The sequence below is a fragment of the Homo sapiens genome, chromosome 14 (genome assembly GCF_000001405.40).
Source record: "Homo sapiens chromosome 14, GRCh38.p14 Primary Assembly".
Taxonomy (NCBI): Eukaryota; Metazoa; Chordata; class Mammalia; order Primates; family Hominidae; genus Homo; species Homo sapiens.
In genome coordinates this window covers 67,877,554-67,890,770 of record NC_000014.9, presented here as the reverse complement: position 1 = coordinate 67,890,770, position 13,217 = coordinate 67,877,554, and the positions used below count along the sequence as shown (strand labels likewise).

The 13,217-nt window shown below is 35.6% G+C and overlaps 1 protein-coding gene across 12 annotated transcripts in view; it reads right to left on the bottom strand.

Annotated features, from left to right (window-relative positions):
- Positions 1-13,217, bottom strand: part of RAD51B (RAD51 paralog B) — an 863,318-nt gene that overhangs the window by 792,326 nt on the left and 57,775 nt on the right. For all 12 annotated transcript variants that reach the window (NM_001321818.2, NM_001321809.2, NM_001321821.2 and 9 more), the window contains 2 exons: positions 4,783-4,902; positions 3,567-3,750 (listed from right to left, as the gene is read on the bottom strand). In NM_001321818.2, coding sequence (NP_001308747.1) covers positions 3,567-3,750; positions 4,783-4,902 — 304 coding nt within the window. The remainder of the gene's footprint in view (positions 1-3,566; positions 3,751-4,782; positions 4,903-13,217) is intronic.

Here is a 13,217-nt window from a genome sequence, read left to right as displayed (position 1 = left end):
GGTAAGACTATTTTCATAAACCTTAATTGTACTTTCATTAGCTGTTACCTCCTAAATATTAGTTATCCACAGTGCTAGGTCCTGGAAATCAGAGAAACAGAAAATATAATCCTGTCATTAAGAAGTTTACACTCTGGGGACTGTTGTGGGGTGGGGGGAGGGGGGAGGGATAGCACTGGGAGATATACCTAATGCTAGATGACGAGTTAGTGGGTGCAGCGCACCAGCATGGCACATGTATACATATGTAACTAACCTGCACATTGTGCACATGTACCCTAAAACTTAAAGTATAATAATAATAATAAATAAATAAAAAGAAGTTTACAGTCCACCGTAATTCTGTATGTCTCAGAAAAAAAGAAAATTCTGCTGTGGAAAAAAAAAAATCCCCAAACTGGCAGCTAAAAGATCTCTCATTCTACCCACTGTTTGTCCTTTCCTATGTTGAGTGTCCTGGAGCAAATCAGGTCACTTTTCGGATTCATTGTCATCTGTAAAATGAAGGGGCCAAACTAAATTTTCTTTAAGGTCCTTTCTGGCAAAAACATCCTATTATTTTAATCTGATACATAATTTACAATACGTATAATAACTATTCTGTACGTGGTAATTAGAAGTCAATGATAAAGTCAACATAAATAGCCATAACCACAATTTATTTTATAAAGCAGTATTTAAATTTTTTTCGGTTACTTTTATCCAGTATCTCTAAACAGCTTCAGAGCCTACTGTTTTTTCAATACTAGTGTGAACACTTTAAAAAGACAAAGGTTCCGCATCTTCCATCCCAATGGCAGAGTATCACTTACACCTCCTCCATAAACTTCAGGAGAAAAGATTCTACCAGACTTCTACAACTGTTTCTCAAAACTGCAGTCTGAACATACTCAAAGGTCTATAAAATTCTCTGTGAAAATTTTTTAATTTTATGTTTTCATTTCAGTGATAGCCTCAAAATATTAGTAAAGCCATCTTATAATTGAAAACTTCTGAAAGATATTAATACATCTGTTTTCAATCAAGTGATATCGATTAATTCCTCTTTAATTCTCAGGGACTAACGTAGAAAAAAGCAACAGCATACTTAAAACTTAAATGCATTCATGCGCACATAAGGGCCAAATGATGTCACCCTTCCCAAAAGACGAGGTTTTCTAGTACTAGTTCAAATAGAGAAAGGGGGGGAAAAGCTGAATAATCACATTTTATATATTTATATATTTTTATTATATATATTTTTTATTTTTATATATTTATATTTATATACATATTTCAAGACAATCTGTGAGGTAAGCTTATATATATAGCAAGCAATAATTTAATTTAGCAAATTATCATATATAACATATTAAATTGACATAATTAATTTGAACAGTACTATGGTGCCTGTTCAAAGTACAGTATAAATGTGTAAAAGTTCATGATTTCCTTTTTTTTTTTTTAATTAAATCTCGGACCTGTGTGAGAGATTTTCCATTTAAATGTATCAATTTAGCTAGGAAAATTCCAACATTTTCTAAAGGAAATATTTTTCAAAATCCTTTTAAAACCAATCTTACAATCTTAATTGTCACAAAAAACAGATATCACAGTTATATAAGTACATAGTATAATCTGCATTTATTTCTAAATAGAGAAACAAAGCCAAAGGCATAGAAATGGGATATTCAGTACCTATTTTTTCAGAGGGTTCTATTAAAAACAAAGAAAAGCAGTGCCCCTTTCTCACTTGGGAAAATAAATCACCTTAGGAAAAACTGAAAAGCATTAGCCTACAGTTACTACTTAAAAGCAAACAAACACAACATTTAAAAAGTGAATTTTATTTTGCACGGAATTAAGTCAAGCAACAGTATGAATTAATAATAAAATAAGAATATATAGTCATCCCCCTGTATCCATGGGGGATTGGTTCCAGGACTCCTCTGCAGATACCATAATCCACGGATGCTCAAGTCCCTCATATAAAATGGTGCAGTGTTTGCACATAATCTATGTACATTCTCTGGTATACTTTAAATCAACTTTACATTACTTATAATACCCAATACAATGTACATGCTATGTAAATCTCTGCTTAACTATAGGGAATCATGACAAGAAAAAAGTCTGTACATGTTCAGTACAAAGACAACTATCCTTTTCTTTTCTTTCAAATATATATATATATTTTTAGAGAGAGGGTCTCACTCTGTCTCCCAGGCTGAAGTGCAGTGACATGAACATGGCTCAATGCAACCTCAACCTCCTGCGCCTAAGTGATCCTCCCACCTCAGCCTCTTGAGTAGCTGAGACTGCAGGGGCACACTACCACACCCATTGCTTTTTCAAATATCTCCTATCTTTAGTTGGTTGAATCCATGGATGCAGAACCCACAGATACAGAGGGCCAACTATATACATAACTTTCTATTCAATCAAGTATCTTTATACAGTATTTCAAAGTTCCCTTATTCTCCTTGATCAGGAAAAATATAAATTTGAATTTATCATTTTAACCAACTACAATAAAATGTAAAAGATGAACATCACCCAAGACAAACTTAACAGCACTTGACTTTAATTCAAAATATAAACTAAAAAGCCATTAAAGTATGCAGAACTTTTTGAATGTCATATTTTCTCCCTTGACTTCTTCCTTGGTTTTATAAACCTCAAAGGCTGTGTGATAGTTTATATTATTTATACATATTCTTTATGTTGCAAAGATCCAAGATTTTAATTTTCCAAAAACAAATCTAAAAATTATAAAATCATAACCAAATTTTATCTCAGTTTAAGGAACTATCTTTTCTTGAGATGAAGCATGACTAAAATTGAGAAGCCTGAATGTTGATGAGGCTGTGGAACAACGACTAAAACTCCCTGACACACTGCAGATGGGAGTGTAACTTAGTACACACTTACGTCTTGCAGGTTACACATCACAAGCCCTTGTAATAGCCTGTCATCTTCAGATTTCTGATCACAATGCCCGCTACAAAAAGCCATGCCACAAATAATCTTTCAAGGTTTTCTTACTGACACTTTCATTACTATCATTCCAACATCTCTTAATGGTTGACCTCTGACCATTTGAAGCAAACCAAATCCTATTGTACACAAAACAGCGCTGAACACAATAACACAGTATCTAAACCTAAAATACTTAAAACAAAACTAACAACAACTGCAGTATTTTTTTTAATTATATAGAAATAGATCTAGGCAATTTCATGAAGTTTTACTACTTTATATTTACTGCAGTGTGAGAAATGTGATACAAAGCACACACAAAGAGTAAACAATGAGAAGGAAGAAAAGGAGGGACTATAGGAACTTTTAAAAACATCGTTTAAATCTACTCCAGACTCAAATTATTAAAATAATAAAATAATCTCAGCAGATGAGCTAATTTAAGATGATGGCGATGTTTGCTATAGCAATTAGACTGTACTACCTTTAAAAAGTCATCTGTTTTACATTTTCCTCTAATTTTATTATTTGATACCATAAGTCAGTGAATGTAATATAAAAGAAACAAAAGAAAGGAAAAGAAAAAAGAGAAAAAAAGAAAAACTTACTGGGATTGAAAACTCCTCAGCCAAATACTTCAAGGAGGATGCCTCTCTTGCCAAGAACTTGTTTCTTTCTTTGAGATTGCCTTGAAGTTGTGCATCAAACTCCTTTCTGACCACAGAAGCAACAGAGTCAAGAATCACAAGTTTAATTCCTTTTGAGATAATTTCTTCTTCCAAAGATTCAATCCTATAAAAGAAGAATTTATAAAATAGTCAATAAATTTAAGATAAAATAAATAAATAAAGGTATTGCAAAGGCTAAGCAACTTAAAAACAATAAACTATTCTTTCCTAAGTTACAGTAATGATTTGCAAGAATTCAGTAAACCTAACTTGTAGACATATCATACTTTTCTGGAAACAGAGCAAACTGTTTCTGTGTAGTTTCAGAATTCCTTGATTCTCCTAAGATAATGTTAACGCTCCAATTCTGGGGTAAAACTACTTGTGGTAGCCAGTCTGCAAAATGGCCCACACTTACTCCCTCCTCTTGGTATTTTGCATCCTTGTATAGGTCCCTCCCACAGTGTGCCAGACTTGATCTGTATGACCACAAGCATATGACAAGATCATGGTACCTTATTTCTGAGTGTGGGTTATAAAAGACTACAGCTTCCATCTTGGGTACTCTTTCACTTGCCCAGTCTCTCAGGTCACTTACTCTGAGGAAAGCAACTTGCTATGTTGTGATTTATGGAGAGGCCCAGACGGTAAGGAACAAAGGTCTCTTGCCCACTGCCAGCAAGAAACAGAGGGCTTCCAACAACTATATTAGGGAGCTTGGAAGCAGGTACTCCAGCTCCAGTCAAGCCTTAAGATAACTGCAGCCCTGGCCACCAGCTTGACTATAACCTCTTGAGCGACATTGAGCCAGAAACACCCAGCTAAGCTACTCCCAGACACTTAACCCTCAGAAACTATGTGAAATAATATGTATTTGCTGTTTTAAGCTACTAAACTGTGAGACAATTTGTTAATGAAACAATAGATAAATAATACACCACTTAATTAATTAAATACAGAACATTTTATTCATTTAATTTTTTTTGTTTTTCAAGAAAGACTTCAACCAAAAGGCTATAACAAAGAAGAACACTGAAAAAGTTACTCCACATAATTCTAACCTATAAAGACTTTTTTCACTTAGAAGCTGAAACATAAAAGATAAAACATAAACCTTCAACGCATTACTAAAAAATCAAAATCTAAAGCAGCATACCTTTGTAGAACTTCATCACAGGTGAGTTCCCGATAAAGATGAACTTTACTACTTGTCAAAAGTAACTTTTCTTCAGTGTTAAAATATCTGGGAAAACGGGATTCTGCTATTTCAACCAGTCTGTGGGTGAAAAAAATAGCACAAACGAAAACAGTCAATTCTACTTAAAGCCACATTGCTGAATCTCTAATTAATTTTACTTGAGAAACTCCTAAGCCTTATCAATAGAGCAGGTATAAGCAAAATGGCTTAATATACAGATTTAGAATTAAGCTCTCTTTTGTAAGCACTAACAGAGGTTAGCAGTCAGAGCATGCAACCAGCAAGGGCTGTTGGATCTCATCTAATCTTGAGCAAACAACAATGTCTCTTGAGATTTATCTTTCTGGGATTAAATATGTTTTTTGTAAGTGATATTTAGAGTAGCAGCTATAAGATATGTTTACTAAATAAGAATGCTTTCATTTTCTTGAATGAAATAAGTATATTTGAACAAATATGGTATATTGTATTATAATAGATATCAGTAAGTCTTCATGTCTCATTCCAGAAAAATACACTTTCTCAATTGAAACAATTCATGCAAATTAATGCTATGCAATAATTCCTTTAAATTATGGCCCAAATAAATTAATGTTCCAATACTTTCTTAGTAAACAAAACATGATTTTCTAAACACTGAATTCTGGCCTCAAAGCCAGTTTAATACATGCAGTAGGCCAAACACAAGAGAGTGACAAGTTAAAATGCCATCATTCATATTATAAGATATGGAAAGCATTACTAGAAATTTCTCATATTTATGGTTAAAAATGTTAAAAATATAAGTCTTTGAGTTTAACCATCTCATTTCATTTTAAATGTTTTGAGTTTAACCATCACATTTCATTTTAAATGAAATGACATTTTATCAGCCCTAGTACTTAGCCATCCCAGGGGAACTGGGAGGAGAGGCTGTAAACTCAAAAAGCATCCTATATTTTGTTTTCCATTTAGAGACTCAAAAGTACAAAAGAACAGTGTTTTCATTTCTAAATAGTTAGAGTTCTGAGAAGAAGCTGGGAACTTTAAAAACATAACCAAAACAAGTCCTTACATTTGCTATGATCAGAAATAAAAGAGAAAAGCCCAAAACAGGAAAAGAGAAGAGAGAACTTCAACAACTGTTTTTAAGTGTATTTTTGAACAATTTGAAAAGAAAAATATACATAGCTAAGTTGAACAGGAAGAGGAAAAAATACTTCATGAATAAGGAATAGTACCAAAAGAGGTGTGAAGAGTGAGAATAAAATGGATCAAATAACCATCCAGGAAAAGAGCTTAAGAGAGGCACAGGGATTGAAATGGAAGAAGGAAATGAGGTAAGGGAGGAAATCAAGAAATGAGATGGCATTGGCACAGGCAGAGCAGCCAAATCCTGAGGGTTTGGGGGAAAAGTGTAAATTTTTGATTAGGGAAACTATTTGCTGAGTTTAGTGCTGGTCAGAGAAGTCAGCTAAAAATCTCTGGCACTTAGAACCTACCAGTTTTTAACAGGATAGGTCTGGCAACATCTTCTAGAAACATGGAAATTTTTCAAAATTTGAATGCCCAGTTGATTAGGAACCAGATTGAGAGTACCTAGCTCATTAGCAACAAGAACTGAACAGCTGACAATTTTCTGGATTTCCACTAGTGGCTTCAGTAATGAAAGGCTCTGGAACTTACTGCTGCTTTGCCATTGCTGAAGGCCTCACAAAAGGAATGGTGGTCAATGGATAGACATGAACAACCTTTGTTCACAGTTACCATGCTAAATAACTGTATTAAATGGATCATTTACACACCAATATGCTGTAATTTTGTTTCTCTAAATGTTTTTTATTTTATAATAAACATCTAAAAATATATAAATCAAAAACCAAATATAAATGCAATATTCGACATGCCTCACATTCATCCTAGTAACTTCTTGTGACAATCTTCATTGCAAAGATCTTTTTTGTTTAGGGCAAAAAACAGAAAATAACCTATCATTTGCTCCCAGACATTAATTACATAAAGTTTGAAAATAATGCCATCTAGTGGATATCTGTTTATAAAAAGCATTCTTTTCAAAATGAGCACTAAGATCCATTCATTCAACAAATATTTATTGAGGACCTACTATATGCCAGGCACTGTTCTGGGTGCTGAGAATATGGCAATGAACAACCACCACTACCAAAAGAAAAAGAAAAGCCCTTACCTCATAGGGTTTAAATTCTACTGAGGAAGACAAACAAATAAATATATATTATATATGAGGTAATAAGGCTGTAGAGGAAAATGAAGCAGGATGAGAGAATAGAATGTGACAGGTGGGGCTAGCGCTATTTTATATTTTATGTCAGGTGAACTGACAAAGCCTTATTAATAAGGTGACATTTGAGCAAAAGCTTAAAAGAGATAAGAAAATGAACCATGTGGATACCCAGTGAAACAGCACACAAGAATAGAGAATTATAACAAGTGCAAAAGCTTACATGTGGAAAGATGCCTGGTGTGTCTGAGAAACAACAAAGAGACTAAAGTATCTGGAACACAGAGAGTAAGAGGGAGAATAAAAGAAAACAAAGAGCTAGCCAAGGCCAAGATCACATAAGACCTTTAGGTCTGTGGTTTTTGTTTTTTTTTTTTTTGCTAAAGTGGTATTTTTTTTTTTTAGCTTTTATTTAGCAAAATAGGAAGCCTAGAAGCAGGAACAACATGATCTGACTTCTTTTTTTAAAAGGACTGCTCTAACTGCCCAATGGAGAAGAGGCTTGGGCAAGAATGAAAGCAAGGAGATCAGCTAGCACAGATAAGAGCTGGTAGTGACCAGTTAAGAGCTGGTAGTGACCTCACCCAGGGAAGTAACAGGTCAAGTGATGAGAAGTAACTAGACTCAAGATATAGTTCAAAAGAGGAGCTGAAAGAATTTCTTGGCCGGGCACGGTGGCTCACGCCTGCAATCCCAGCACCCTGGGAGGCCAAGGCAGGCGGATCACCTGAGGTCAGGAGTTCAAGACCAGCCTGGCCAACATGGCAAAACCCCGTCTCTACTAAAAATACAAAAATTAGCCAGGTGTGGTGACGGGCGCCTGTAATCCCAGCTACTCGGGAGGCTGAAGCAAGAGAATCGCTTGAATCTGGGAGATGGAGGTTGCAGTGAGCCAAGATCACGCCACTGCACTCAGCCTAGGCAACAGAGTGAGGCTCCGTCTCAAAAAAAAAAAGAAAGAATTTCTTGACTAATTGGGTGAGTGTCTAGAAGAATGGAATCACAACTTTATTGAAGCAGAAAAGACAAGATTCACATAAAGGTTTTGGTTATTGGTGTTATTTGCATGTTTTATTTCCTTCATGGGGGAAACAAAAATGCAGTTTTGGACATATCAGGAAATCCATGTATGTAAACCTATCCAAGTTCCATGTCATTACGCAAATGAATATGAATCTGAAGTTCATGGGAAAGCTCAGAATTCAGATATCAATAGGAGTTACAGCCTATAAAAGATTTTAAAGATCATAAGACCAGATGATATTAGGGATTGAGTACAGATATAGAAGAGAAAAGGTCCTAGGACTGAGTTCTGGGATTCCCCAAAGCCTAGAAGTTAAAATGATGAGGAGGATCCAGCAAAAGGGACTGAGAGGAGGAGGTGACCAAGAAGGTAGGTGTAAAAGAAGAGAGAATAGTTCCAAGAAGCCAAGTGGGCTGGGCATGGTGGCTCATGCCTATAATCCCAACACTTTAGGAGGCCAAGGCAGGAGGATCTCTTGAGCCCAGAAGTTTAAGACCAACCAGGGCAACATACCAAAACCTTATCTGTACTAAAAATTAAAAAATTAGCTGGGCATGGTGGCATATGCCTGTGGTCCCAGCTACTCGAGAGGCTGAGGTGAGAGGATTGCTTGAGTCTGAGGGGTCAAAGCTGCAGTGAACCATGATAGCACCACTGTACTCCAGCCTGGGTGACAGAGTTAGGTGAGAACCTGTCTAAAAAAATAAAAAGTCAAGGGAAGAGAGCTTTTCAAGAAAAAGTGAGTGATCAACTCTTTCGAATGCTGCTATTGGGTTGGATAAAATTTTTTAAATCAGTTGCATTATAGAGCTGGAAACTTAAGCCTGGATAGAGTGAACTCAAGAGAGAATGAAAGAAGGGATTTCCACTTTAGCCCACAAAGGATTAACTGGTACATGAATTGCACTAAAATAATAAGTAGAAAATCAGACAGAATACATGAAATAAGAGTTTTCAGGTACTGAACAATAGAAAGCTTGAGACTGTAATCCTTGAGAGAAAGGAAACAAACACAATGAGCTTACAATCACCTCAGTTTGCTCCAGAGGCAGTTTCCAGGCTGCAACACAAGAAAGGGAAAGTAAACAGAGCCTGGTAGACAACCTGAGTTGAGGAGATGGGGATCGGAGTTTGGGAAAGCTAAGGTGGCTAGAACTTATGGGGCAGAGTACCAGAGAGGAAGCAGGTGTGCAGAGTGAGCACTGCAAAGATCTGCAGAGAGGGCCACTTGAGAACTAATCTGCACATGTGTGAAGGGAAACTACTTGAGGTTGAGGAAAGAACCACCAGAAAGTATCAGACTGAACACTTCCTAGTGCCCACACAGGGTGAGAACAGTTCGGGTTTACACAAGGTGAAGAATAAAGAGACCTTATTATACACTGGGCATTGGGCAGAATTTTCAGAAGGATTTTACCTTAGTAGTGAAGCTAAATAAGTTTCAGAATAAAAAACCACAGTCATGTGCTGCATAACGACATTTCAGTCAATGATGCATCACTTATACAACAGTGGTCCCATAAGCTTATATAGTATATTTTTACAATACCTTTCCTTTGTTTAGATACACAAATACTTACCATTGTGTTGTAATTGCCTATTCAATACAGTAACATGCTGTACAGGTTCATAGCCTAGAAGCAATAGGCTATACCATATAGTCTAGGTGCGCAGTAGGCTATACCATCTAGGTGCATGTAAGTACACTGTAGGGTGTTCATACAACAATGAAATTGCCTAACAATGCATTTCTCAGAACATATCCCAATTGTTAAGCGAAGCATGACTGTACCTGGGATTTTTCCATAACAACATAGAAAAGCAACCTGCAAAAGGATCAAACTAATACTAAAATGTACCTTAAAACAAAACCTAACACTCTTGAAAAACATATGTTAAAATCCAGCACCCACCAACAACGTAAAATTTACAATGTTTAACATCGAATTGAAAAATTACCAGACAAGTAAAGGAAGAGGAAAAGATCCATTACCAGGAGAAAAATCAGTCAATAAAAACAGATTTAAAAAATTATATATATGATGGCATTCATGGATAAAAACCTCAAAACGGCTATTATTAATCTTCTACATTTGCTCAAGGAGTTAAATAAAGCAGGGGTTGTCAAACTGTGCACTATGGCCCATTGCCTGTTTTTGTCAATAGAGTTTTATTAGAACACAGACATATTTTTAATATTCTGTTTGACAAAATAGAAGCACTTCTACTACATTCTGAAGTACAACCATTGTCTCAAGGAAAAACATCTGTACAATTGGGTTCTCAGACTAAGAAGTCACTTTTTCCATGGGAGACCATTTTTACTTGAAAGAATGATTGATAGATAAGTTATGGTTTTTCTGACTTAAGTATTTGGTAGACGTTTTCTCAAAATGAGCAAAGTAAGCCCGACACTTCAAGAAAAACAAGTGGCAATATTTATTGCCAATGATAAAATTCAAGCTTTTAATGAAAAATCAGATTCCTAAAAAACTTACATCTGCTACCATGAGTTTGACTGCATCCCAATACTTAAATACTTTTTGTTCAGATCAGTGGAGATACTAATGAAATTTTTTTATATTGAGTAATAAAATGTGTCAACATTTAGAACTCCATAAGACAGTGAACCAATATTTTCTGAGTGATAAATGCATAATATTACAAAATCATGCATAGGTAAATATCCATTAAGAGCCTAAGACAGATGAATAGATTTTAATGTAACTGTAGAAAAAATGCAATAATATGGTTTCAGATTCTATATCACAACTAACCTCTAAGCAACTATTACTCAATTCCTGGTGTAGTATCAAAGAAGCATATCTTTAATTATCTGAAGAGACTATTAAAATATTCCTCCCTTTCCAACTATAACCAGTATAAGGCCAGATCTTCATATCTCAACCAAAACAACAGAGTGCAACAGACTGAATGCAGAAGCAGATATTAGAATCAGGCTGTCTTCTATTAAGTCAGACACTAAAGAGATTTGCAAAAACATAAAACAACGCCACTCTTTTTTCACTTTTTTTAGTCAAAAATGTATTTATTTTCCATAAAAAATACATGTAAAGTCCAGGTGCAGTGGCTCACATCTGTAGTCCCAGCTACTCAGGAGGCTGAGGCAGGAGGCTCTCTTAAGTCCGGGAGCTGGAGGTTACAGTGAACTATGATCATGTCACTGCACTCCAGCCTGGGTGACAGAGCGAGGCCCTGTCTCTTAAAAAAAAAACAAAAAACAAACAAAAAATATATGACAGTCAGTTTTGTGTCAACTTGGCTAGTCCACAGTCTCCTGTTATTCAATCAAACACTAATCTATGCATTGTTATGAAAGGATTTTGTAGATGTCATTAATGTCCATAAACAGATGACTTTAAGTACTAGAGATTATCCTACATAATCTGGGTGGGCTAATTCAATCACTTGAAAAGCCTTAACAGCAGAGCTGAGACTTCCTTTAAAAAGATGAAATTCCACCTATGGACTACAGCTTAGGCCCTTGCCTGAGAGTTCTAGCCTGCCCTTTCCAACAGCCTGCCCTATGGATTTCAGACAACTCCACATCTGCATATGCCAATTCTTTGCAATAACTCTCTTAATATATGTTCTACTGGTTCTATTTTCCTAATGGAGCCCTGTTTGGTACAATATGCTAACATGTAATGGCCAGGCACAGTGGCTCACGCCTGTAATCCCAGGACTTTGGGAGGCTGAGATGAACAGATCACTTGAGGTCAGGAGTTCGAGACCAGCCTGGCCAACATGGCGAAACCCCGTCTTTAATTTAAAAATTCAAAAATTAGCCAGGCATGGTGGCAGGCGCACTGGTGGGCACCTGTAATTGCAACTATTCGGGAGGCTGAGTAAGGAGAATCGCTTGAACCCAGGAAGTGGAGGTTATAGTGAACCAAGATCACACCACTGCACTCAAGCCCGGCGACAGTGAGACTCCATCTCAAAAACAAAAACAAACACACAAAAAAACACATACCATGTAATGGACTTACTGCATAATAGATAATAGTTAAATATTCTTTAAATTTTCCAGTTTAAATTCCTAATATGATAAATATCAATTGATATAATCCACCTAGAGTTTAAGGGCCCTGAAAATTAAAACTTTAAAAACTACAGCCATAAAGCAAAATCTGAAAGATCAACCACCAAAGAAATCATAGATAACAAAAGATAGCATAACCAAAGTTGAAAGATAAATTATAGAATTATAGCCCAGGAAAAAAATCATATAAACATAAATATCCATAATACACAAAGTATTTATATATATCAATAAGAAAAAATGGACAAAGTGTATTTCTAGGTAATTTGCCAAAGAAATATAAATGGACAATGAATATATGAAAAGATGTTGGTTCACAATAGTTAAAACAATGAGCTATCACTTTTTTCCCGCAAGTATGACAAAATTAAAGAAACTAAAAACAGTGATGAAGGCTCTCAAAGTACTATTGGTTGAGATACAATTATGTAAAATATTTCTAGAGGAGAATGTGGCAGTTTATACAAAAATTTAAAATATATCCTTAATGGATTTCTGATGGATTAAAGATATTGACATAAAAGATAAAACTATAACTATATTAGGAAAAAACTGTAAGACAATATCTTGATAACTAATAGTGGGGGAAAACTTGTTAATTAAGATCTGAAAACCAATACCATTAGGCAACAACTTCAAATTTACAAATTTCTGGCCAGGCATGGCGGCTTATGCTTGGAATTCAAGCAGTTTGGGAGGCGGAAGCAGGAGGGCTGCTTGAGCCCAGGAGTTTGAGACCAGTTTGGGCAAGATGGTGAGACCCCAGCTCTACAAAAAAATTTTTTTAATTAGCCAGGCGTGGTAGCACACGTCTACAGTCCCAGCTATTTGGGAGGCTAAAGCAAGGGGATCCCTTGTACCCAGTAAGTCGAGACAGCAGTGAGCTATGATTGTGCCACTGCACTCTAGCCTGAGTGAAACCTCGTCTCTAATAAATTTTTTTAAATTATAAATTTCTCTTCAATAAAGGACACTACAAAGATGACAGATAACAGAGCAGGAGGAGATATTTTCAATGTGTAAAACTGACAAACAATATCTAGAAGACACACAAAAAGCTTCTG